Below are 24,623 nucleotides of genomic sequence, written 5' to 3'. Positions count from 1 at the left end.
TTTCTCCCGTCTCAGTGCAAATGTGGGTTTGTGCATTTTTTTTTCCACCATGTATTCCTGTTAATAAGGCACTTTTTAAGATATGCGTCCAAATGCTTTCCGACTGTTAATATATCACTAAGAGGTTAAGAATGGAATGACCCCATTTGGCCCAAAGGATGTTATTTCAGGATTTAATGAATTAGATATTGCTACCACTTTCAGGTGAAAATCAATTGCTTCAATTAACAAATTTCTACCAATCCAAATATTTACAAAATGGAAGGCCTCTAGTCTTCAATTTCTGCTGCATTATACCTTTGTTTCCCCTACAGCTGTTCCCTTTGCATCCTTCATTAGCATCTCATTTTTGCTAAAGCCACAAGGCCAGCTATGTCTCTGCAATGACATGAGGCTTTCCTGCCTTCAAAAGCTGACAATTTGGATATTCTTTTCCTAAGAATTTCAATGGAGTGGAGTTTTGCTTTTTTATCATTTATTCAAATATGTTTAAAGTTGGGGAAGTATGAGAATTAATCTAGGCTGGGTGCAGCGGCTCAAGCCTGTAATCCCAGCGCTTTGGGAGGCCGAGGCGGGTGAATCACTTGAGGTCAGGAGTTTAAGAGCAGCCTGGCCAACATGGTGAAACCCCGTCTCTACTAAAAATACAAAAAATGTTAGCCGCCTAAAAATTAGCATGGTGGTGCATGCCTGTAATCCCAGCTACTAGGGATGCTGAGGCAGGAGAATCGATTGAACCCAGGAGGTGAGGTTGCAGTGAGCTGAGATTGCGCCACTGAACTCCAGCCTGGATGACAGAACAAGACTCCGACTCAAAAAAAAAAAAAAAAAAGAATTAATCTAATTTTTTAACTGAAATGAATATAGACAGAGAAATATAGATATATAGAGATCCCCATCTAAAAAATAAAGTCCTATCTGACATGGCATACCCTTTAAGAGTTTTAAGCAACTTACTCATTCATCCATGTAATCCCATTAATATCTTTATGAGGTGGGTACCATTTTTAAACTTGTGTATCTATTAGATAAGAAAATTAAAGTACAGCAAGGTTAAGCAATTTTTGAAAGGTCACACATCCAATAAATAGTGTAATATGAACTTGATCAGTCTGACTATAGAATCTGCTCTCTTAACCCACTATGCTAACCTGCCTTTTAAAGCAAACTGTAGGGGAAAAGAGACTCTAATGAAAGAAAGTGTTCATTTCTTTCAGCTGGAGTAGATATAGGAACCTGGGTTCATGAGAAGAAAGCTGTGGTCACACCAATTTGCACTTATTCATTAGATGTCAAGTGCTTTTGTGAGCATTTAGTTGGACTTCCCACATCTTTCTTTTGGGTTGCCTATAAATAAAGCAAATCAAAAAAAGGAGGCAGAGTACTTTTCCCCCAAACTCTAGCTGAAACAAGTAAAATTGAGTTAACTTGGATTCATTTGAACTATGAAGTCAAAATCCATTTAAGCTGTGCACCCAGAATTTAATTCCGGTTTTCCAATGTAGCTCCCAATCATTTATTTATTCCATAAACATGCATTGAGTGCCCATTATCTGCCAGGCAAATGCTAAGTCCTGTGGAAACAATGGTGAACTAGATATAGTTCCTTTCTCATGGAATATATAGTTTAGTGATTTTGGCCCCATATGTTCCAACTGCTGTACTAGATAATGAAGACAAACATAAAACAGACATTGTTCCTACTGTTAAGAAATTGATATCTATAAGTGAGAGGTAGCTATATAAATAAATAAGCACCATTAGGGTTAAAATTACTGTCAGGTATATATATGGTGGGCTGTGTGATTAAAGAAGCTTACAAATAGATTATTAGGACCAAGTGTCCTTTGTCCCCCAACTATAAAATAATCTATCATTCAAAATAGCAAACATATGTTTAAGAGATAGATATAAATGATTATATTTTTCTTTGAACCCATTCAGGCATGATGATGGAAGCCACTATAGTTGGAATATTTGTGTACCCCTAAAATTCATATGTTGAAATGCTAACCCCCAAGGTGATGGTATTAGAAGGTGGTGCCTTTGAGGAGGTGATTAGGTAATAAGGTTAGTGCCCTCATGAATGGGATTAATGCCCTTATAAAGGGCTTCAGAGAGCTTACTTGTCTCTTCCACTATGTGAGGACACAGTGAAAAGGCCCTATACTATGAAGCAGAAAGTGGGTCCTATGAAGCAGAAAGTGGATACCAAATCTGCTGGTATCTTGATCTTGGACTTCCCAGACTTTAGAACTATGAGAAACGAATTTCTGTTGTTTATAAGCTTTCAATCTATGATATTTTGTCATAGCAACCAAACAGACCAAGACAGCCAAGACAGAAGCTAAAGAATAGGTTACTTCTAATTCTTATCAATATCAAAATGAATTTCACTGTCATTCCAGGAAATTACACTTACTGTCCTGAGGTCACCAACCTCATTTTTTGGAAAGAAACTAGACCTGGACTCTGGAGACTGCTAAATAAAAGCTAGAACTACTGCTGTTAAAAACAATGGATCAGAGAAGTCAAACCTCTGTTCTGATTCCACCAAACCAGAGAGAAATTTGGGGAAAGAAGCTAATGTGTGAACCAGTTTCCTTCTGACATTTGTGTAGAGACAGGGAAGAAATTCATCCAAATGATTGCATTTTAACATTGCCAGTGAGCTCACCCACATTTGGATACTTAATATAATTTCAATTTCTCTACATCAGTAGTTCTCAAACAGGAGTGATTTTTGTCCCCGAGGGGATCTTCAGCAATGTCTGGAGACATTTATGGTTGTCAAAACATTACTGGCATCTAGTGGGTAGAGGCCAAGGAGGCTGCTAGACATCCTACACTGCATGGGACAGTCCCACAGCAAAGAATTTTCTGGTCCAAAATATCAATATTGCCAAGGCTGAGAAACCCTGCTCTACAGACAGCACAAATCTGGAAATAATTTGGATTCCTACCATCTCCAAACACCGCACATAGACAAGTTCTACTGACCACCAAGGACTTCAGCTCGAATGAAATCACGTGACATCTCTTGGACCTCCAGGGAGTGCTGCTAGTAAGTGGTCAGAGAGCAGGAAATGGCTTCTAATTAGTAGTGTCCTCACAGGATACAACTGCAGAAGATAATTTCCTGTCCCCTTATTTGATGGGAAGATTAATCTGTTACTAAATTCCAGATGAGGAAGATTTTCAAAAGTTTCAAATAGCAAGATTGTAGCCATACAGAAGGCAATTATGTGCAATTTGTACAGTGTTCGACAATCAAAATGTAAATACGATGAGTTGGTTGCAGTAAATGCATATGGCATGTTTACCTTAAAGAACATCAAGCTGCAGAAATTCTAGTGGGGTCTGACAGTTGGGAAGAATTATCTTTTCAAATTGCAATTTTTATCTGTGAGATAAAAAAGGAAAAATAAGACAAGATATTTACTCCTGGGGAACTATTATCTCTGTGTGTGTGTATATGTGTGTGTGTGTGTGTGTGTGTGTGTCCCCTGATAAGGAGCAACATAGGTATGGGGCTTTGAAGAGATGGAGATTTGATAACTTCAGTGTTCTGGCAGGATTTATCTGCACAGAGACAATTAATTTTGTTGCATTCACAGTTTTCTACACAACATCTAAAACACGATCAGCTTCTCAATAATATTCTCTTCCTGTCATATAATAATCTATACACCTAGTGTAGTGTTCAATTTTGGTCCTCATTTCCTGATTCTGAAAGCCTACTATGAACTTTGGCAGCAAAAAGAGTTTGCTAATTCCAGGGGGAAACAAAACCTAGCTTCCAATTTTGCTTACATGTAAAGCAGCCAGTTCAGTTTGGCAGAAAGTAGACATTCAACAAACAGCATTCTCTCTGCATCCCTTCCCTTTTTCTATTTGCCACAAAAGATTTTTATTCTCTATTGCTAAAACTTACAGAGGCAGGAAAAAAAAAGACTGGGATATTTACACACATAATGGGATAGCCCACAACAAATATATTTTTATTCAGATATCAACCTACTGAAAATGTTAGGTGGTTGAAGTTTTGCAATAAGATGGCAAAATATAAAATTTAGAGTACCAAAAAATACTGGACTTTTTGCTGCCTTCTCTCCAAAACCATAATGCATACCCACGCAGACTTCAAACCAGAACACGCAGCAAGATCCAGCCTACTCCTAATATTATGAAGCCTCCTCCTGCATTTGCCAACTAGATGTCTTTTAGCATCCTTACTGGAGACCCCACCACAATGCATGTGCAACAGACGGGCTCTTCATGGCTGGCTGACAGTGCCTGCCTGTCGAAACACTGGGCTGGGAGCACCTGACATGGATCGCATCACAGTCATGTAGCTATTTATCTGACGAAGCTTAGTCCAGCTGCTAACCATGCCATAAGCCTCTAGCACACACTGCAGCTGCAGTGAAATGTGATGCTTGAGAGCTGTTCAAACCAACGAGCAGCCAAAGTCTACTCTAGGTAGCACCTAAGTTTCATTTCATTTCAGCAAAGTAACTAACAGTAGTTATCATTCTTAGACAACTTGTTCTGGGTGAAACAGCTATTGAAAGGTTTTGCTTTACTTTTGAATATTGGAAAAGATCACAGAATTGGGGTAATGTTAAACATGAAGTACACAGTATTGATAACTATAGGAAATATAAAAGCTTATTATTTTTGTTTTGCTTTGTTTTGTTTTTTTGACATGGAGTCTCGCTCTGTCACCCAGGCTGGAGTGCAGTGGCACAATCTCAGCTCACTGCAACCTCTACCCTCTAAGTTCAAATGATTCTCCTGCCTCAGATTCCTGAGTAGCTGGGATTACTGGCGCTTGCCACCACGCCCTGCTAATTTTTGTATTTTTCGTAGAGACGAGGTTTCACCACGTTGGTCAGGCTGGTCTCAAACTCCTGACCTCGTGATCTGCCTGCGTTGGCCTCCCAAAAAAGCTTATTATTTTAAAAAGCTTTTGGAGGAAGAAACCCTATAAACGATTACACTCTACTCTTTCTCATTATGGATTGGGTTAATGAGGCCCAGAGTGCTACAGTAACCCAGCACAATTCCCTGATTTGAAATCCCTTGTGCTTGCCAACATGCCATCTCCTCTCATAAGAATTAGTCAACATTTATAAACAGAAAATCAAAGTTTATCCATAGAATTTATTATATTGATACAAGTGCTGTGCAGTACAATTTGGCAATATCTATCAATTACAAATATAAATACTGTTTCTTACAGCAACTTAATTTTTAGTCATGTATCTTATGGCAACTCTTGCTCACATACAAAATGACATTTGTACAGGGTTATTTGTTTGCAGAATTGGAAACAACCCCGGTGCCCATAAATAGGGAAGTGATGGATTAAACTATAGTATATCACACAATGTAATTGAATACTATGCAGCTGTATAAAAGGAAAGACCACTTTCTGTGTTGATATGAAAAGATCTCCAAACATCCAGGATATATTGTTAGGAGAAAAAAGCAAGGTATTAAAGAAATATCTCTTGTATGCTACCTTTGTGTAAAAAGCGGACTCATAAGAATAGATATTCATGTTTGCTTTTATATATTAGAAGTATATAGGAGAATTTAAGCAAGTAATTATCTAGAGGAAGCAGTGGGGACAAGAACTGTTCTGTGAACAAACCTTTTCCATGCATAATTGATTATAACACTTTTTCTGCTTAGACCACATAAGTGTATTACTCACTTAGAAATAATACAACATTTTGAAGAATTACAGATACAAAACTAAACTCCATGAATAGACTTACCATTTGCTTTTGAAAAGTCCTCTGTTACCCATAAAAATGATTCATACTGATGTCCAGAGATTGCTTAAGTGCATACTATTCTCAGATTGTATTTATGATTTAAAAGGAAACTTCTGCCTTAATCTCTGCTTCACAATTGCTCAGCCATGTGCATGCACACATGCATATGATCCTTCCTACTAATATAATTTCAGCCATGTTGGTAAATTGGCTCTGGGTTTGTCAGATGGCTTACCCACTCCATCTCTTTACAAGCTTAGCTCTCATAGGCAGCCATGGAAAATAATGGAGAAATCATTTGGAAAACATGTAACTTCCAGAGAGTCAGATTATATATAAATATTGGTTTTGGGTCTGTACCCTATAAACTCACTTTCTATTTTCCTCTCTTGTGCGCTCTCTCTCTCTCTTTTTTTTTTTTCTTTACTTTACTTTAACATACAGGAAAGCTATTGGCCGGGCGCGGTGGCTCACGCCTGTAATCCCAGCACTTTCGGAGGCCGAGGTGGGCGGATCACAAAGTCAGGAGATCGAGACCATCCTGGCTAACACGGTGAAACCCCGTCTCTACTAAAAATACAAAAAAATTAGCCGGGCGTGGTGGCGGGTGCCTGTAGTCCCAGCTACTCGGGAGGCTGAGGCAGGAGAATGGTGTGAACCCAGGAGGCAGAGCTTGCAGTGAGCGGAGATTGCGCCACTGCACTCCAGCCTGGGCGACAGAGCGAGACTCCGTCTCAAAAAAAAAAAAAAGAAAAAAAAGAAAACTATTAGGCATAAAATATAGCTAGGTTTGCAATCCAGTGTGTGACTTTCACATTGGATATAAACCTGATCCTTTCTATGGTTTGAGAACAGTCTCCTAGTCTGTAAAATGGGAATAATAACAGTGTCTCCTTCACAGGAAGGTATGAGGACTAAATGAGATAATGCAGGCTAAGGTTAGTGCAGTACTTTACACATCATAAGCACTGGATCAATGTTAAATTGACCAGCTCTCTCCTCCTTTTCATTTCTTCTCCCATGAATGCTTAGTTAAGAAGAAGATACCAAAATTAGGACCTATTAAAATATATTGCTGTTTTTTCGATTTCTAAACAATCACTGTATATAAACTCCCATGTTTCCTGTGATCTACCTGATGCCTTTCAAATCAGATCACATTGGTTCCCAGTCTTTCACTGTCCACCACTGTTAGGTATATTCATCGCTTCTCCCCCTTAAAGCTCTGGACTTCTAGCATATCCCCATTAAATCCACTTGGGATCAAACATGAAACGCAGCTTAGGGTTACCTAAGAGTCTTAATTTAACCCCCCCCCCCCCACACACACACACAGAGTACATGTGTTAAAGGCTTCCATAGAGGTAGGGATTAATAGTTAAGGCCAGAGGCTCTAAAACTCTACCACTGTAGCTCATGATCATCTATTGAAAGGAAGGCTTAAAAGTTAGTTTTACCAGGTCTACATGGAGGAGGCAGAATCATGCAATCTTTTATGTTTCCTACACCATCCCAAGCAATTTTGAACCCTCGCCTTAGCGTCTAAGGCAAATCATTTTCAAGACTGCCTCAGTCCTTTTCCCACATTCCTATCGTCTGTCCCAGCTCTTATGAATGTCCTGGGATCTCTCAGAGTCACTGTAGCCCTCAAGAAGCAGATAAGGTTATGTAATTATAAAACAGCCACTAAGTGCTCGAACCAGAATAAGAAATAACTTGAGGACATTTTCTGTTGTCAGACAGAAAGTGGCACTAAGTTTCTCCTAAGCTAAAACAATTCAGTCAGAGATATACCCAAAGTAACTGCAGCTACCATCTTAATTCATTTACTTCAATCAAAGAATCAAATTATCTCCGTTGTGGTAAAATCTAATTGATGTTATGACAATTAAGCCTTAAACACCCTTCTCAATCAGTCATAGAAACTGGGACTTGGTATTCCCCTTGGTGGTTAAACTTTTAAAACCTGATTGTTTGCTTTAAACCACACCAGAATAAGAGACTGGTGATAAACTGTATCTCATTTCTGGTTTAGCACCAACTACATGCCTAACCAGGTAAATTGCTTGACACCAGTCTTCCTAACTCAAAAAAAAAAAAAAAAGTTGTTAAAACATTAAGGACAGAGTAATTATGATAATTGAGATAATAGCAATGAACCTGACTCCCCCTTTGCTTTGAGGAATAGCTATACATCAATCCCTACTTTCCTACCCCTGGAGGCAATGGGTAACTTGTAAACTTGGCCACACCGGCTTCAGTTATCAGACCTCAATGTCTGCTTTAAGAATAGACAAAAATCAGGTCCAATAATAAGTACAAGTGTTATGGAAGAAATCAATGTTTGCTAATGCTTTCAGATCTTGATTGAAAACTGCCTGGGGGAGAACATTTTTTAATAATTATGTTTGCATTCTGTTCACATAAATACACTCAATTTTCAGTGTGGTCGAGGTGCAGCTCGCCCTAGAGTTTTTCTATTAAGTTCTACCTTGAGAAAATCTTGTGGAAGCTTCTGTAAGATGTTGTTATTATTACTTTTTTTTTTTTGCAAAGTAGATTGTGAGAGATTTCTTTTTCCTAGAAGATAAAAATGTGCAACTGAACAGTAGTTGACAGCATCTTGTTCAGGCTAAATTCCTTGTCTCCAGACAAGGTAGATTTAGGCAACTGCAATTGACATCCCTGAAAACAGGAATAGACTAAATAATGGAAGCACAGATAGATGTGGGGAAGGACTGTTATAATAAACTCAGCCAACTGTTCAATTAATAATTTTTTTAAAGAACTAAGTCTTACTAAATGCCATGAAGCTTTCATTCCAAATCATTTGTTTAATTTCATGTGTAAATTATGGAAACGCACCAGTTTTCCAACTATTGAAACAGATTTTGGAGCTATGTTGTTTGAAGTGATTGTAGTTCAGAAACATCTCTTTTCAATTAGCTCTGAAACCTCTTTCAACAGCCTTTCATAAATAGGCCAACATCAATGGCATGCTCAGATCCAGTGTGGGTCTCTAATGGAAATGCACAATGGGCCTCGCGCCATGCCTGCAGGGGCAAACATCTTCCATTTCAGACAGATCCAATGAGAAATGGTGCCAGCTACTCTGGGTCTCCCACTTTTTGGTCTCAGGTTTAGCTCATCGCTAATCAATGCTTGTGTTGTTTAATTACATTGTACAGTCAGTAATGATTTGTCACTCGTTGAACCTGGGCGGTCTTCTGAGCCATCACCAATGTAAACTGCAAAGGCAAGGTAACCTTAACTGCCAGGACTCCACATTGGAAAACAGAAACATCTTCCTGATAAAAGGAAATGCTGAGTTTGGGGGGAAAAGGAAAAGGAAGATAATGTTCTTATATTTAAATTGTACAAAATACTAGAGGCCTGTCCCTTCCCTATCCAGAATTCTGGACCAGAAACGTCTGCCCACCAAAGGGTTTATACAACTCTTATCTATTCGATAGCACTTAATGACCTGAATGATACTGGAAACTCAGTAGATATTGATTGATATATTGACTAAGAACAAGTTTTAGCATATATATCTATATCTATATCTATATATATCATATATATCATATATATCTATATATATCATATATCTATATATATAGCATATATATATATCACACACACACACACACACAGAGATAGAGACAGACAGAGAAAGAGAGAGATATATCCCTCTAGTATATCAAAATTCTGAAATTGATTTCATGTTCCATTAACTAGGAATGCGATGTTGCATGGCACTAGAGAATGAAAATATTTTTTTAAATAAAGGATTAATTATCTTACAATAGCCAAAATGTTTATGGTCATATAAATATATTTATTACTGGTATAGTATAGTCAACAATCAATAAGAAGAAATATTTAACCAATCAGAATGGACACAGACTTGTGTGCCATTATATCTTAAACTTAATCATAAAGTGTTAAGTTTAAGAAATTAAGTTTATGTAAATTAACAAAAGCTTAAATTCCAATATATTCATAGCCAAAATGGTACGTTTTGTCAGCATAGGTAGACAAACAGACTTCTGTCAAAATGTACTGCAACATGGATGGTGGAGTACAGCTAGAAAAGTAAGTAACTGGGAAATTAAAGTGCTGTGTTCAGTTTCAATGCTGTACCTCAAATAGATTTAATCCCAGTGCTCCTGTTGTTAGCAATAAGAAGATATTCTAGTTATATATTGATAGAACTGGTTTTAAAAAAAGCAGATACTGGTATGTTTTTCCTAAAGTAAACAATAAGTACAGGGATGATTTGTTTTATAAGAGATAAATTAATTGATAATTATTCCATTTGCAAAATCAAATCAAGTATGCTCTTAGAATCTCTTTGAATAAGAAAAATCTGTGTTGCCTTTAAAATATGTTCTTTCAATTAAACATTACAGGCATTTTTATTAAAAGTAGGAAGAAAGACAAAATAATCTACTAGTTCCACTCATCTGAAAGTTCCAACCAACAGAATAAGTAAAAGAAAGGAATATACAATTAAGAAAGGAGCTATCAATGCATCATTATTTGAATATGATATAATTGTCTATGAAAGACAACTTAAAATCTAATAAAAGGTCATACTATGTGTTAGAATGTAACTATTAATTGCTCCCCCACATATAAGAAATTAACTTTTTAGAAAATGTAATTGAAAATGTACAGCATACATCAAAAATTCACAATGCCGAAAAATATGCAAGTATCTAGAAATAAATAAACTTAATAAAATATATGCAAGTTTCAAATGAAGAAAACTGAACAATTAAAAAACTTCATTCAAATTCATGAAGAGGTATATCATGATTAGGTAAAGAAAGACACAATATTGTAAAGATATGAATTCTTCCTTAATTTAGCTTGTAAACTTAGTTCTGTTCTGAATTGCAATGTGGTTTTCATAATAAAGAAAACAAATCTAAAACTGATTCAAAAGAAAGACTTGAGGAAAAATATAAAGAATTTTAATGAAGAAGAATAAAGAGGTCATTATATAATTTAATATTTTAGTTTAATATTTAAATATATAATATAATATTAAATTATATAATAAAACTACAATATTTTAAATACTTTGGGAGTGGCATAAGAATTAAATAACAGAAAAATTGAGCCTTAGAAAGCTGAGAAACAGACCATCCCATGCACATCAACTTAGTTATGTTAGGGTATTTCAACTCAAATTCAATGAAAAGAATCCTTCCAATAAATATACAAAATTTGTTAACTATTTGGAGGGAAAGTTAGATCTCTATTCCAAACCATACACCAAAATAAATACCAAATTGACTAAAGAGTTAATTGTAAAAACTGAAATCATAAAAGAATTAGGTAAAATAAAGGATAAATCCAAAAGAACAATTAGTAACTCTACACAACAACATTGATGCATCCATCTTAAGTGCATGTTGCTAAGTGAAAGAAGACAGTCCGAGAAGCCTGCATACTGTATTATTCCACTTATGTGACATTCTGGAAAAGGTAAAACTATAGAGATGGCAAAGCTTGTGGTTGCCAGGGGTTTGGAGATGAAGGAGGGTTAAAAAGGTGAAGCACTGGGGATTTTTGATGGCTATAAAATTATTCCATGTATATTCCTGGGGAACCTGGTGCTAAACCATTCTTGGACAACCTGCTTCTGGGTCAGGGTTTTGTACATAGCAGAGTGGCTCTCTTGCCGTGATTATTGAGTCAGCCCTTGACATAAGGGTGTGTAAGATATAATAAAGAGAAAACACCAACAATAATTTTAACAAGCAAAAAATATAAAAATAAATAAAATTATTTTACATGGTACTACAGTGGTGGATACATGACACTGCATTTGTCAAAATCCATATAGCACCTTAAAAATACCAACCAGGAGGGGAGGGGATGCCAGAATAAGATGGAACTGTGAGAAAACAATCTAGCTGTGTTACAAATGTTTGATATAACTTGTGTAAAGTACAACAATGTAGGGGCAAGGAAAAAGACTTACTGACCTAAGTAACTCTGGAAATGACTGGAACCATAAAACTAAAAACAAATAAAACTGTATATAGCACTGAACTCTACCTGGAAAGTTGTTTTCTATGGGGTCTTGGGTGACCAACTCTGAAACCAGTACATATGTAGGCTGAGATTGGAAAAATAAGTAAAAGGATGATAGTTGCTGGAGCCAGGATTGTTACTAGAGGAGTGAAAATTTACAGATAAGAAAAGGCTAAGGCTAAAATGAAGCATGTGGTTGTAGATTAGAGTGAGAGACATGAGTAGGACCTCAAGTTTAGCTTAATAAAGATGTTAATGGATATATATAATCATTGGTGTTAAAATCAACATATATAATCATTGATATGCATATATACACAGATTATACATATACTTTCTTGCTCTGTCAGCTGAGAGGATCTAGAAACAAGGATTCTCCAGTAGCAATGTGCAAACCCAGGACTCAAATTTTCATTTCTAATAACACCCTACAATAAAAGGAACTAAGGCTCCTTGGAGAAATTACTGATTGTAGAGTTGGAAAAGGAATATATAAGATTAGCCTGGAGCTCCTTGTAGTGTCAGGAAGTAAGGAGGTGCCCCAAAACCAAATGATTGGGGAATGTCAACCCTTTGACAAAAGCCAACTGAAAGAGCTCCCACCTGAGCAACAGGACGAAACCCCATCTCTACTAAAAATACAACAATTATCCAGGAATGGTGGCATGCGCCTGTAGTCCCAGCTACTAAGGAGGCTGAGGCACAAGAATCACTTGAACCCAGGAGGCGGAGGCTGCAGAGCCGAGATCATGACACTGCACTCCAGCCTGGGTGACAGAGCGAGACACTTTCTCACAAAAAAAAAAAAAAAAAAAAAAAAAAAAAAAAAGAAAGCTCCCAATGGCCAAAACTGGAACAATTTGAGCAATGAAATTTATAACATTGTATTGGACTATAACTTAAAAAAAATCTCCATGAGTTTATACAGATATAAATAAATCATTGAAAAAGTAAATAGGAGAGAAGAGACAAATCTCCTGTAATGAATTCCAAACAACTTGTATAGATACTCCACTGTCAAGGAGTTTCAAGCATTAACTCCCTATGATTTAAATTTGAGCCATGCATATGGGAAAGTAGGTGAGAGGATGAGTAACTTTACAGTGGAAACCTGATGAGCACTATCTTTCTCAGATGATCAAGGTTAATATAAATGTGGCTTATCATTGATGGTGTGTATTTTTGATATGATATAATGACGTAGAACTTTACCTCTATGTTCTGTCTCCCAAAAACCCATAATCCCAATCCAATAATGAGAACAATATTAGACAAATCCTACCTGAGAGACTTTCTACAAATATTTGGCCAGTACACCTCAAAATGCAAAGGTTATCAAGAACAAGAACGGTCTGAAAAACTGTCACACCCACAGGAGCCTGCAGAGGCATAATGATTGAATGCAATGTGGTGGTATCCTGGATGAGATCTCAGAACAGAAAAAGGACATTAGGTAAAAACAAAGGAAATCTCAATAAAATATGGCCTTCAGTTGATAATAATATATCAATAGTGGTGTATTAGCTGTGACAATGCATTGTACCATTGTGACACATGCACTGTACTAATGTAAGGTGTTTATAATGAGTGAAATTGAGTGCAGAGTATATGAGAAATCTCTGTACTATCTTTGCAACTTTTCTGTAAAACTATTCTAAAATAAAAAATTAATTTTTTTAAATAGAAGAATTTTTTTTGATCTCTGTATTGAGAATACCTTTCTAAGCATAATGCCAAAAGGTGAAATCACTATAAACTAAAAGATTAACAGATTTGACCTCATAAAAATTAATGATTCCTGAATGGTATTGCCTAGGTTTTCTTCTAGAGTTTTATGGTTTTATGTCTTACATTTAAGTCTTTAATCCATCTTGAAGTAATTTTTGTATAAGGTGTAAGGAAGGGGTCTAGTTTTAGTTTTCTGCACATGACTAGCCAGTTTTTCCCAACACCATTTAGTAAATAGGGAATCCCTTCCCCATTGCTTGTTTTTGTCAGGTTTATCAAAGATCAGATGGTTGTAGATGTGTGATGTGATTTCTGAGGTCTCTGTTCTGTTCCATCGGTCTATGTATCTGTTTTGGTACCAGTAGCATGCTGTTTTGGTTACTGTAGCCTTCTAGTATACTTTGAAGTCAGGCAGCATAATGCCTCCAGCTTTGTTCTTTTTGCTTAAGATTGTCTTGGCTATGCAGGCTCTTTTTTGGTTCCACATGAAATTTAAAGTAGTTTTTTTTTTTAATTCTGTGAAGAAAGTCAGTGGTAGCTTGATGGGGATAGCATTGAATCTATAAATTACTTTGGGCAGTATGGCCATTTTCATGATATTGATTCTTCTTACTCATGAGCATGGAATGTTTTTCCATTTGTTTGTGTCCTCTCTTATTTCCTTGAGCAGTGGTTTCTACTCCTTGAAAAGGTCCTTCACATCCCTTGTAATTTGTATTCCTAGGTATTTTATTCTCTTTGTAGCAATTGTGAATGGGAGTTCACTCATGATTTGGCTCTCTGTCTATTAATGGTGTATAGGAATACTTGTGATTTTTGCACATTGATTTTGTATCTGAGACTTTGCTGAAGTTGCTTATCAGCTTAAGGAGATTTGGGGCTGAGACAATGGAGGTTTCTAAATATATAATCATGTTATCTGCAAACAGAAACAATTTGACTTCCTCTTTTCCTAATTGAATACCCTTTATTTCTTTCTGTTGCCTGATTGCCCTGGCCAGAACTTCCAATACTATGTTGAATAGGAGTGGTGAGAGAGGGCATCCTTGTCTTGTCAAAGGGAATGCTTGTCAAAGGGAATGCTTGTCAAAGGGAATGCTTCCAGCTTTTGCCCATTCAGTATGACATTGGCTGTGGGTTTGTCATAAATAGTTGTTATTATTGTGAGATATGTTCCATCAATACCTAGTTTATTGAGAGTTTTTATGGGCAAAGGCTTCATGACTAAAACACCAAAAGCAATGGAAACAAAATCCAAAATTGACAAATGGGATCTAATTAAACTAAAGAGCTTCTGCATAGCAAAAGAAACTATCATCAGAGTGAACAGGCAACCTACAGAATGGGAGAAAACTTTTGCAATCTATCCATCTGACAAAGGGCTAATATGCAGAATCTAAAAGGAACTTAAACAAATTTACAAGAAAAAAAAACAACCCTATCAAAATGTGGGCAAAGGATATGAACAGACTCTTCTCAAAAGAAGACATTTATATGGCCAACAAACATATGGAAAAAAGCTCATCATCACTGGTCTTTAGAGAAATGCAAATCAAAACCACAATGAGATACCATCTCAAGCTAGTTAGAATGGTGATCATTAAAAAGCAAGGAAACAACAGATGCTGGAGAAGATGTGGAGAAACAGGAATACTTTTACACTGTTGGTGGGAGTGTAAATTAGTTCAACCATTGTGGAAGACAGTGTGGTGATTCCTCAAGTATTTAGAACCAGAAATGCCATTTGACCCAGCAATCCCATTACTGGGTATATACCCAAAGGATTATAAATCATTCTACTATAAAGACACATGCACATGTATGTTTATTGCATCTCTATTCACAATAACAAAGACTTGGAACTGACCCAAATGCCCATCAATGATAGACTGGATAAAGAAAATGTGGCACATATACCCCATGGAATATTATGCAGCCATAAAAAAGGATGAGTTCATGTCCTTTGCAGGGATGACATGGATGAAGCTGGAAACTATCATTCTCAGCAAACTAACACAGGAATAGAAAATGAAACACTGCATGTTCTCACTAATAAGTGGGAGTTGGACAATGAGAACACATGGACACAGGGAGGGGGAGATCACACACTGAGGCCTGTCAGGGGTCGGAGATAGGGGAGGGATAGCATTAGGAGAAATATCTAATGTAGATGACGGGTTGATAGGTGCAACAAACCACCATGGCACATCTATACCTATACCTATATAACGAACCTGAACGTTCTGCACATGTATCCCAGAACTTAAAGTATAATTTTAAAAAGTAATAACTCATAACATAATGTAAAGGTGTATTAATTGAGGAGAAATTTTTTGCAACATATACTTTAGCAAAAAAAGATATATTTAACCTGTAAATAATGCTTTTTATAAACCAATAGTATCAAATTTTAAAGCCAACCTCATGAACTAGCAATTCTCTAAAGAAATGCATAAGTTCAATAAATATAGGAAAAGTATTCAACCTTGCTAAGTAAAGATATGAAAATACAATCAAATAAGCTAGTACTGAGCAAAATTATTTTAAATTATGATGTCCCTTATAGAGTGAAAAGAAACAGGAACAGTGGAAGGTACAATTCTACTTGAGAGTGAAATTTTACTGTGTTTCCAGAAACAAAGTTTATCCAAACATATGCACACAAAACACACACACACACACACACACACACACACACACACACACACGTACACATAAAGGCATTAATGTAGAAAGTCCACTTCTAAGGATTCATCATAAGGGAGCAATGGACATACAAAAACATGCTTCAATAAAGATCTCCAATGGTAGGAATTTAGTAAAAATCAGTTATAATAATATATGAAACATAAAACCTGGCAACTAATGAAAATCACTTATTGATGATTCTTTAAAGTAATGTGGTAATATTTATAATGTATGAGAAATAAAAACAGTTAACTTTTATTTTTTAAAATATGCATACGAAGCAAAAGACTGAAAACAGACACACAAAATAGTGGTTTCCCTGTGAGAGGTAGGATTGGACATAGGAGAGGATAGAAAAACTTCTATTTTTTGTAATTTAAAACATATATTATTTGTGTTTTTATAACATCCATGTGTTATTTTATAAGTTAAAAACTAATGAAGATGTTATTTTTACAGTCTTCCTCCAAAAAATTACTGCCTAAAAATTTCAGTTTATATTTTAGTTGTATAGATATGCAGAAAAATCTGGGAAAATATATACCAAAATGTTAATAATATTTGCTACTGGTCATAAGATTACTGGGTGTTTTTGTTTGTTTTCTGCTTTTCTGATTTTTTTTTAAATTCAAGGTTTATTCTTTTTTATTTTCCTTCCAGCTTTTAACTTAGGTTCAGGGAGTACCTGTGCAGACTTGTTACATGAGTAAATTGTGTGTCACTGGGGTTTGATGTACAAACTATTTTGTCACCCAGGTAGTGAGCATAGTACCCAATAGGTAGTTTAATTCTCACCCTCCTCCCATCCTTCACCCTCATGTAGGCCCTAGTGTCCATTCTTCCCCTCTTTGTGTCCAAGTGTACTCAGTGTTTAGCTCCCACTTATAAGTGAGAACACTTGGTGTTTGGTTTTCTGTTCCTGTGCTAATTTGCTTTGTATAATGGCCTTCAGCTGCATTCATGTTGCTGCAAAGGACATGATTTAATTCTTTTTTATAGCTGCATAGTATTCTATGGTGTATACGTACCACATTTTCTTTATCCAATCCACTGTTGATGGGCATCTAGGTTGATTCCTTGTCCTTGCTATTGTGAAAAGTAATGCGCGATGAACATGTTTGTGCATGGGTCTGTATGCTGAAATTATTTATATTCCCTTATATGTCCAGTAACGGGATGCTGGGTCAAATGGTTTAAATTATGTTTTAAGTTATTTGAGAAATCTCCAAATTGCTTTCCACAGTAGCCGAACAAATTTACATTCCTACCAGGTGTGTATAAGCATTTTCTTTTCTCCACAATGAATTTTCTAATTTAACAAAATTACTGCAATAAAAATAGTCATTTGTAAGAAAAAAAACAGAAAATATAAGATAATTTTAAAAGATTTTTTAAAATTCAGAAACAATGCATACACACAGTTATGTTTTTACCTTTATTTCAATTTTTATTTTAGATATTGAGAGAACTCCAGAAAAGTGCATTTATATATAGTTATTCACCTAGCTCCCAATGTCTTTCTTTTAGTCACTAAATACTAATTTTTTGAATGGTTACTTACTTTGTACCACAAACTAAGATGACTATTTTTCCATAACTCACCATCTTTCAAAAAAACTGTAGGATATAATCAATTTGCCTTCTTTAGAAAAGAAATTAGACATATTGTCAACATATTGTGTAACTGGATTTGAATTGCTACAGTTAAAAAACTTACAGAAATTCTAAGACAATTAAATATGACATTTGGGCAAAATGGCCATCAGGCTAAAATAGCTGGGGGAAGGAGGTATGGGCAGAGAGGCACTTGCTGATACAGATGCCTCTGTAGGTTACAACCCTAATATATCTTGATATAAAGGTATAAAATTTTTAAAGTGTCTCCAAATTTATAGTGTAAAGGGATTTCTGAGGACAGTGGCTTCTCCTAAATTAGGAAACCCAGAAGTATATAAGGATCCTTAACTAAGTTAAATAATGCCTAAAGAGTGTCTAATGTGATTGTTTTCAAAGGAAAATGCCTATGTGTTTATAAAACAGGTATCAGTGAAAGTGATTTGGAGTTAACTGCTATACCCAAGTTTAACTTGAAGAAATTTTCTAATTAAATGTCACCTATTCCTTTAATCACATCAAAATTTAGGTCCTGTAGGTCAGCTGAGATCAAAACCTAAGGTTTGTCTAATCAGCATATCAGTGTTAGCTAAAATTATGCTTCTGAATGATGGCAGTTAATAGGTTTACATGGCAGTTTCCTCCCAAAGGATATTTAAAAATATGTTCTGCCATTGTTGGCTTTTATTGAGCTTCTTGCTCTCTGCATCTTTCAAAGAAAGTTATAAAATGAACTGATTTCCACACACAATTTGGTTTCCTTATCATCACATTCTCCCATTAGGGCCTTGGAGGCATTGCTTCAGGAGCTCTGGACTTCAGTCCTCACTCGAGAATGAATTAGTTATACAAGCTTGAGCACACCTGGACATCAATTTCCTTATCTGCAAAATGAAAGCCGCAAACTGAATGATCTCTAATATTCCATCCAGTTTTATAATTTTAAATCTCTTAAGTCACAAAATGAGTTAGTGCTCAGTACATTTAACTGATGGAAATCAGTTTCTTAAATAATCTCATTAAACAAGGTGTATAACTTCCTAGATGTGTAGGAGTGTTACTGCTTTAGAAATGTGTACTAGTCCACTATTGCCTTTCAAATGCTGCATAACACACCAAACCAAAAAATCACTGGCTTACACAATTATTTAACCTCTTGCTCACAGGCCTGCAGTTGTCTTGGACTGCTCTGTCACAGCCTTTAAAATGTAGGATGGCTAGAGCAACTCTGCTCCATGTGTCTCACTCAGTGGTCCAAGGTAGAGGGGCAGCAGATACCTAGAGGCTGTTTTATTAATGAAGGAGTTTGGAAGCTCCAAAAGGGGCCAGTGGAAAAACCAATGCTTCCTAATACCTTGGTTCAAACTGGCAGATTATCACTTCCACCTACTCCCATTGGCCAAAGCCAGTCTTATCACCAAGCCTAACATGAATGAGCGAGGGAAACAGACCCTTCCACTGAGGTAGGCAGTGGACAAGGGAGTAAGTACTTCTGAAAAAATTCCAGTCTATCACATTGACAGACAGCCCAAAGAGCAGAGCTCATGAATGCAATTTTCTTTTTTTCTTTTTCTTTTCTAAGATAGGATTTTGCTCTTGTTGCCCAGGCTGGGGTGCAACGGTGTGAAGACTCACTGCAACCTCTGCCTCCTGGGTTCAAGCAATTCTCCTGCCTCAGCCTCCTGAATAGCTGGAATTACATGTGCCTGCCACCACACCTGGCTAATTTTTGTATTTTTAGTAGAGACGGGATTTCACTATGTTGGCCAGGCTGGTCTCAAACTCCTGACCTCAAGTGATCCACCCACCTCGGCCTCTCAAAGTGCTAGGATTACAGGCATGAGCCACCGTGCCTGGCAAATGGATGCAATTTTCTAAATGACTTAATTCAGTGGATAATTAGCTATCATTCATTGAATCAACACGTTTTGAAGAACCTTCTAAGTGTCAGGCAGTGTTCTAGGAGCTGACAGGGCTTGCTGGCAGAATAAGATATGCAGGGTGAGAGTAAAAAAGATAAAGATGATGACTCCTGGGTTTTAGGCTTGTAGAAGCTGGATGATGGTACCATTTACTGAAACAGGGAAGAGCGGGAGAAGTAGGTTTGGGTGGGAAGTTAAGGAATTTGCTTTAGACTTTCACCATGTGCACTGGTCTTTATATTTTATAAAGTGCTTTCACTCACATTATGTCCTGTTACTTTTCATCTGACAAGAAAATGTGGTGAATAGCCTGTTTTTGTTTTCCGTTGCTGCCTTTTTTTTTTTTTAAAAAAAGGCACAGATTTGGCAACTCGAACAATACACATTTATTATCTCATAATTGCCTTGGGAAAGGACTTCAGGTCGGAATTGACTGGGTCTTCAGCTCAGGTCTCAGGCTGAAATCAAGCCAACTGTACTTTCTCACCTGGGGTTCTAGGTGAGCTGTTCTAAGCTCACTGGTTGTTGGCAAAATTCTCTTCTTTGCAAGTGCGGGACTGAGATCTTTATTTTCTCTCTCCCATTGGTCAGGGTTGGTCTCAGCTTTTAGAGGCTCCTTGCCCCCATAGGAAGACCACAACATAGGTGTTTTCTTACTATAGGTCAGCAGGAACTTCTCTGACTTATTCTGAGACCAGCTGAAGAAAACTTTCTTTTTTTAATGGACTGGTAATTAGATTAGGATCGCCCAGATATTTTGAGATCAACTGAGTTGGGACTTTTAATTCCATCTGCAAAATCCTTTCACAGAAGTACCTATATTAGTGTTTGACTGAATAAGTAAGGGCTAGGAAAGTTAGGAGGGGACCATCTTTGGAATTCTACCTACCACATAAGCCCAATTTGCAGATGACTCAACTGAACCATGGTTGAATTGACTACCATCAGAAAGCACATCTAGTGGTGAGGCTTATACCTGACCTTCATCTTTTGATTCAGTCTAGAGCTCCTTCCACCATGCCATGCCTCCTCTCTTTCTCCAGGAACACTTCCTACAATACAGTGACCACTTTCTCACTTCCTTCTTATGAGCCCTGAACTGTAAACAATACAGCACCCTACAAAATTATAATTGCATTATTATTTACATATTCATGTGTCAAATCTCACATAGCACTTAATAAGCACCGTAGGAATTAACCAAAGTGGGGAGTTTCTAGCTGTACATTTAGAGAATCATGGCTATGCACATTTGATGTTAGCATTTCCTATGAAACATTTTCACAGCCATAAAAGTGACCAGCATGCTATTAACCAACATGTTAAAGTGGTGCTAATACTATTAACAATACCTTTTTTTTTTTTTTTTGTGATGGAGTCTCACTCTGTCACCCAGGCTGGAGTGCATTGGCATGATCTCAGCTCACTGCAACCTCCGCCTCCTGAGTACAAGTGATTCTCCTGCCTCAGCCTCCCGAGTAGCTGGGATTACAGGTGCCCGCCACCACACCTGGTTACTTTTCTTGCATTTTAGTAAAGACAGGGTTTCACCATATTGGCCAGGCTGGTTTCGAACTCCTGACCTCAAGTGATCTGCCCACCTTGGCCTCCCAATGTGCTAGGATTACAGATGTAAGCCACAGCACCCAGCCCAATGTCATTTTTAAAAGTACCATTATCAAGTATTTATCAGAAACAATAAGTTAAACAAAATTAATCTGGCAATATAGGGCCTTTTAAAGCTTGTAATATGCTAATATGTGTTATAGAGCAACAAGAGGGAGATATAATATATGAAACTTGATGTAAAGCCTTTTTTCTATCAAGCATTTCAAAGTGCTAGCATGCCACAAAACACTTACTTTAGTTTTATGTAAGACCAAGTCCCTTTCACTCATCACAGTCAAGGAGTATCCCTTACATCTGTAGCTTTCAAGGCCATGGGTAGTGGTAGGATGGATAAGCCCATTCAACCTTAAGAAACTCTGTGTCCTCAAAGCTACCAGTGGAAAGGTGTTGTGGTCAGTCTGTTGCTATTCAGTGACAAGTGTATCTTAAAGAATGGAAATAAAAACACATCAAAACTGGAACTTTTTTTTTAGGCCTTGTAAAATATATTCCAGAAATGAACCTGGAGAAAACAGAAGGTCTAAGGAAATACTATATTGGGGAAAAGAGAGGGGGAAAAAGGCCTCTAGCACAGACATAAATTTTTATGTCAGGGGACCTAAGATGGATATCAAAGTGAATATTAAATTTACCTAGGATAACTAATCTAAATGACCTAAAAACCAAATCTGCCATTAATCCCATTGTTGGTGATAAATCTATGGCTGGACATTAAAAAAAAAGATGACATGCATAACTTATACTATGTACATCAGTTTCCAAAGCACATGAAGAAAACTTGGGAATGTATTACATGTGACCTCAACTGTACACTAAATTCTGAGCAGTTCTTGCTTTGGATTTTTTAGTTAAGAGAAATATTCATAGCATCATTTTTTCTTGATCAGCATAGATGAACTGTACATAAAAATGACATTTTATTCTTTCAATGAGCACTATTTCTTCAAGTATGTTCATCTTTTTCCAGTGCTCTTTCAGCTTCTCTTTCGCATCATCGGGAGACATTATGGGTGGCCTATTGCTAAGCTTTGCAGAGAAGAAACCCAGCAAACCTACATGAGGCTTGTTGGAGCTCATAGCAAGAGCTCAACTAAGAAATCATTGGAAAATGATCGCTAAATGACGAAGTCACTGCTGCTGCCAGTGGACAGAGCAGCATATCCTGTTTACATGCCCATCCTGAGAGCTTCAATAAGACCAGCTCAGAGATTGTAAACCTCTTAATTACTGACACCTAACATCTGAGGACTTCATAGTTGGGTGGAGTAGGGTTCTAAGTTTTCTTGGACCAGCCCACTTCTTTTTTCACATGCTTTCTCCACTCTTCAGTGCCTGCTCCAAGGGATCATCAAGTTTTTCCTGGAAACTAAGCTGTTTCATTGCTCAGGGGAGACTTTGACACCAACAGCTTAAACAAACACCTTTTGTGTTCTCGCCACTCTTTTTACCAAACACTCTGCTATCAACCTAGAAACAGTGGCTTGAAAATATCAGCTGTAGTAATAGGCAAAGAAAAATTGTCTCCTCATATTTTCTAAGAGTGTGGTCAAGGAAACAGCATATTAATATTCAGAAAGATAACCATATTCTCATACAAGCTTAATAGTAGAGCTTTTCTCATAAGAAGCTCTGTATTCTTTAGTTTGTGCAATTATTTATCTATTTATTCAATTAACAATTTATCAAGTTTTCAACATGTGCAAACACTGTCTTAGAAGCTGGAAATGCAGTGATAAAGACCGGCATCCCCAGTGAAAAAAAAAAAGTACAGTTTAGTGGAAAAATAGCCAAATATTTGCAATGCAGTGTGATTGAAGTTACAATAGCCATTATCTTGAGGCGAGATAGGATCATAGAGGCCAGAGAGTTAGCCAAACCTGGAAGAAGGAAGCATGATACAAGAGAGCAAAGGAGGACATATTTAGGCTGGATTTGAAAAGATAAGTAGTAGATTATTTATTTATTTACTTACTTTCTTATAGTTAGGTAGTTGATTAGTACTACCCGTATTGTTCCAGAAAAGTGTACGGAAACTTTCAAAAATGCCTATAATATCAAAAGGTAACAGAAATGCAAAATAAGGTTTTTGTTTAAAGTGGAGAAGGAGGGACAAAGGAAAAATAGTGGGGAAAACCAGTTGACCTAAGAGTGAAATTCAATGCATGCTAGTAAATGTCTATGTGTTTGTAAGATGAGAACCAAAAATTTGGTTTCAAGCCTTGCAGCAGCCATCATAAAAAAAGGAATTATGAATTAGTCCTCAAACAGAGAGATGAATTCAAAATAAGAGCTGGTATTCATCCAGTTAAGCATTTGCAAAACAGAGATAAAGAGAAAAATCAGTAACCTACAGAAGTTTTCATGTCGTAACGTAGTCCACGAGTGAGAAATGAGGATGGGTGAAGCTACAGAGGTAAGAGGTCACATTAAACGGAGCTATCAGAGGATTTTAAGAGTGAGTTGACATGGTCAAACTTTTTATTTTAGGAGGCTGAGTGGGGCAGTGACCCAGTTAAGAGCTTATGAGGACTTGCAGGTTATGGCAGTAGAACTGTGGAAAATAGAATGAATTCAAAGGATATTAAGGAGTTGGAATTGACAGGACTATAGATAGAGAGAGGAGCAGGTGCCATACAGGTGAATTGTACTTCAAAGCCTTTGGGTTTTGTGTTTTTAATCTTTATGATAGAAATTCAGTCTAGCCAGACCGTCTACAAAAGATACAAAAGGAAAGTCTAATGTGAACTAATTTATCTGATTACTTTTCTCCAATAAAACAAGAAGGGAGAAAAAATTTTAGAACAATTGCATTTCTTGGGGTAAAACATTGTCCTGGTTTGGGGAGGATTCACAGCTATGGGCAGCTGGAAAGGCAAGCTGAGCAGCCCTACAATAGAGTTGGGTGAAAAGATTGGGGAGGGGATGCAGAAAAAGAGAGAAGGATGGATCACAAGATGTATTTTACATGGTTCAGAATTTTGCCTAACACTTGCTCAATGGAGGTGAGATGACAGTGACATGCACCAGATTTAAGAATTCAGTAGCATACACTTTGACCAAAAGTAATTTTGTTAATATGGTTATTTGCTTTGAGAATAATATACCTGGTTACTGGTTTCTTCATTTTGTTTGTTTTTTTGACTCACTAATTTTGGTTCATTTTTCAGCCCTTTCTTTTTACCATTTTTATATCTTTTTAGGGCTA

The sequence above is a fragment of the Homo sapiens genome, chromosome 6, assembly GCF_000001405.40.
Source record: "Homo sapiens chromosome 6, GRCh38.p14 Primary Assembly".
Taxonomy (NCBI): domain Eukaryota; kingdom Metazoa; phylum Chordata; class Mammalia; order Primates; family Hominidae; genus Homo; species Homo sapiens.
The sequence above is the reverse complement of the archived record's forward strand: the minus strand, read 5'-3'. Positions refer to the sequence as shown.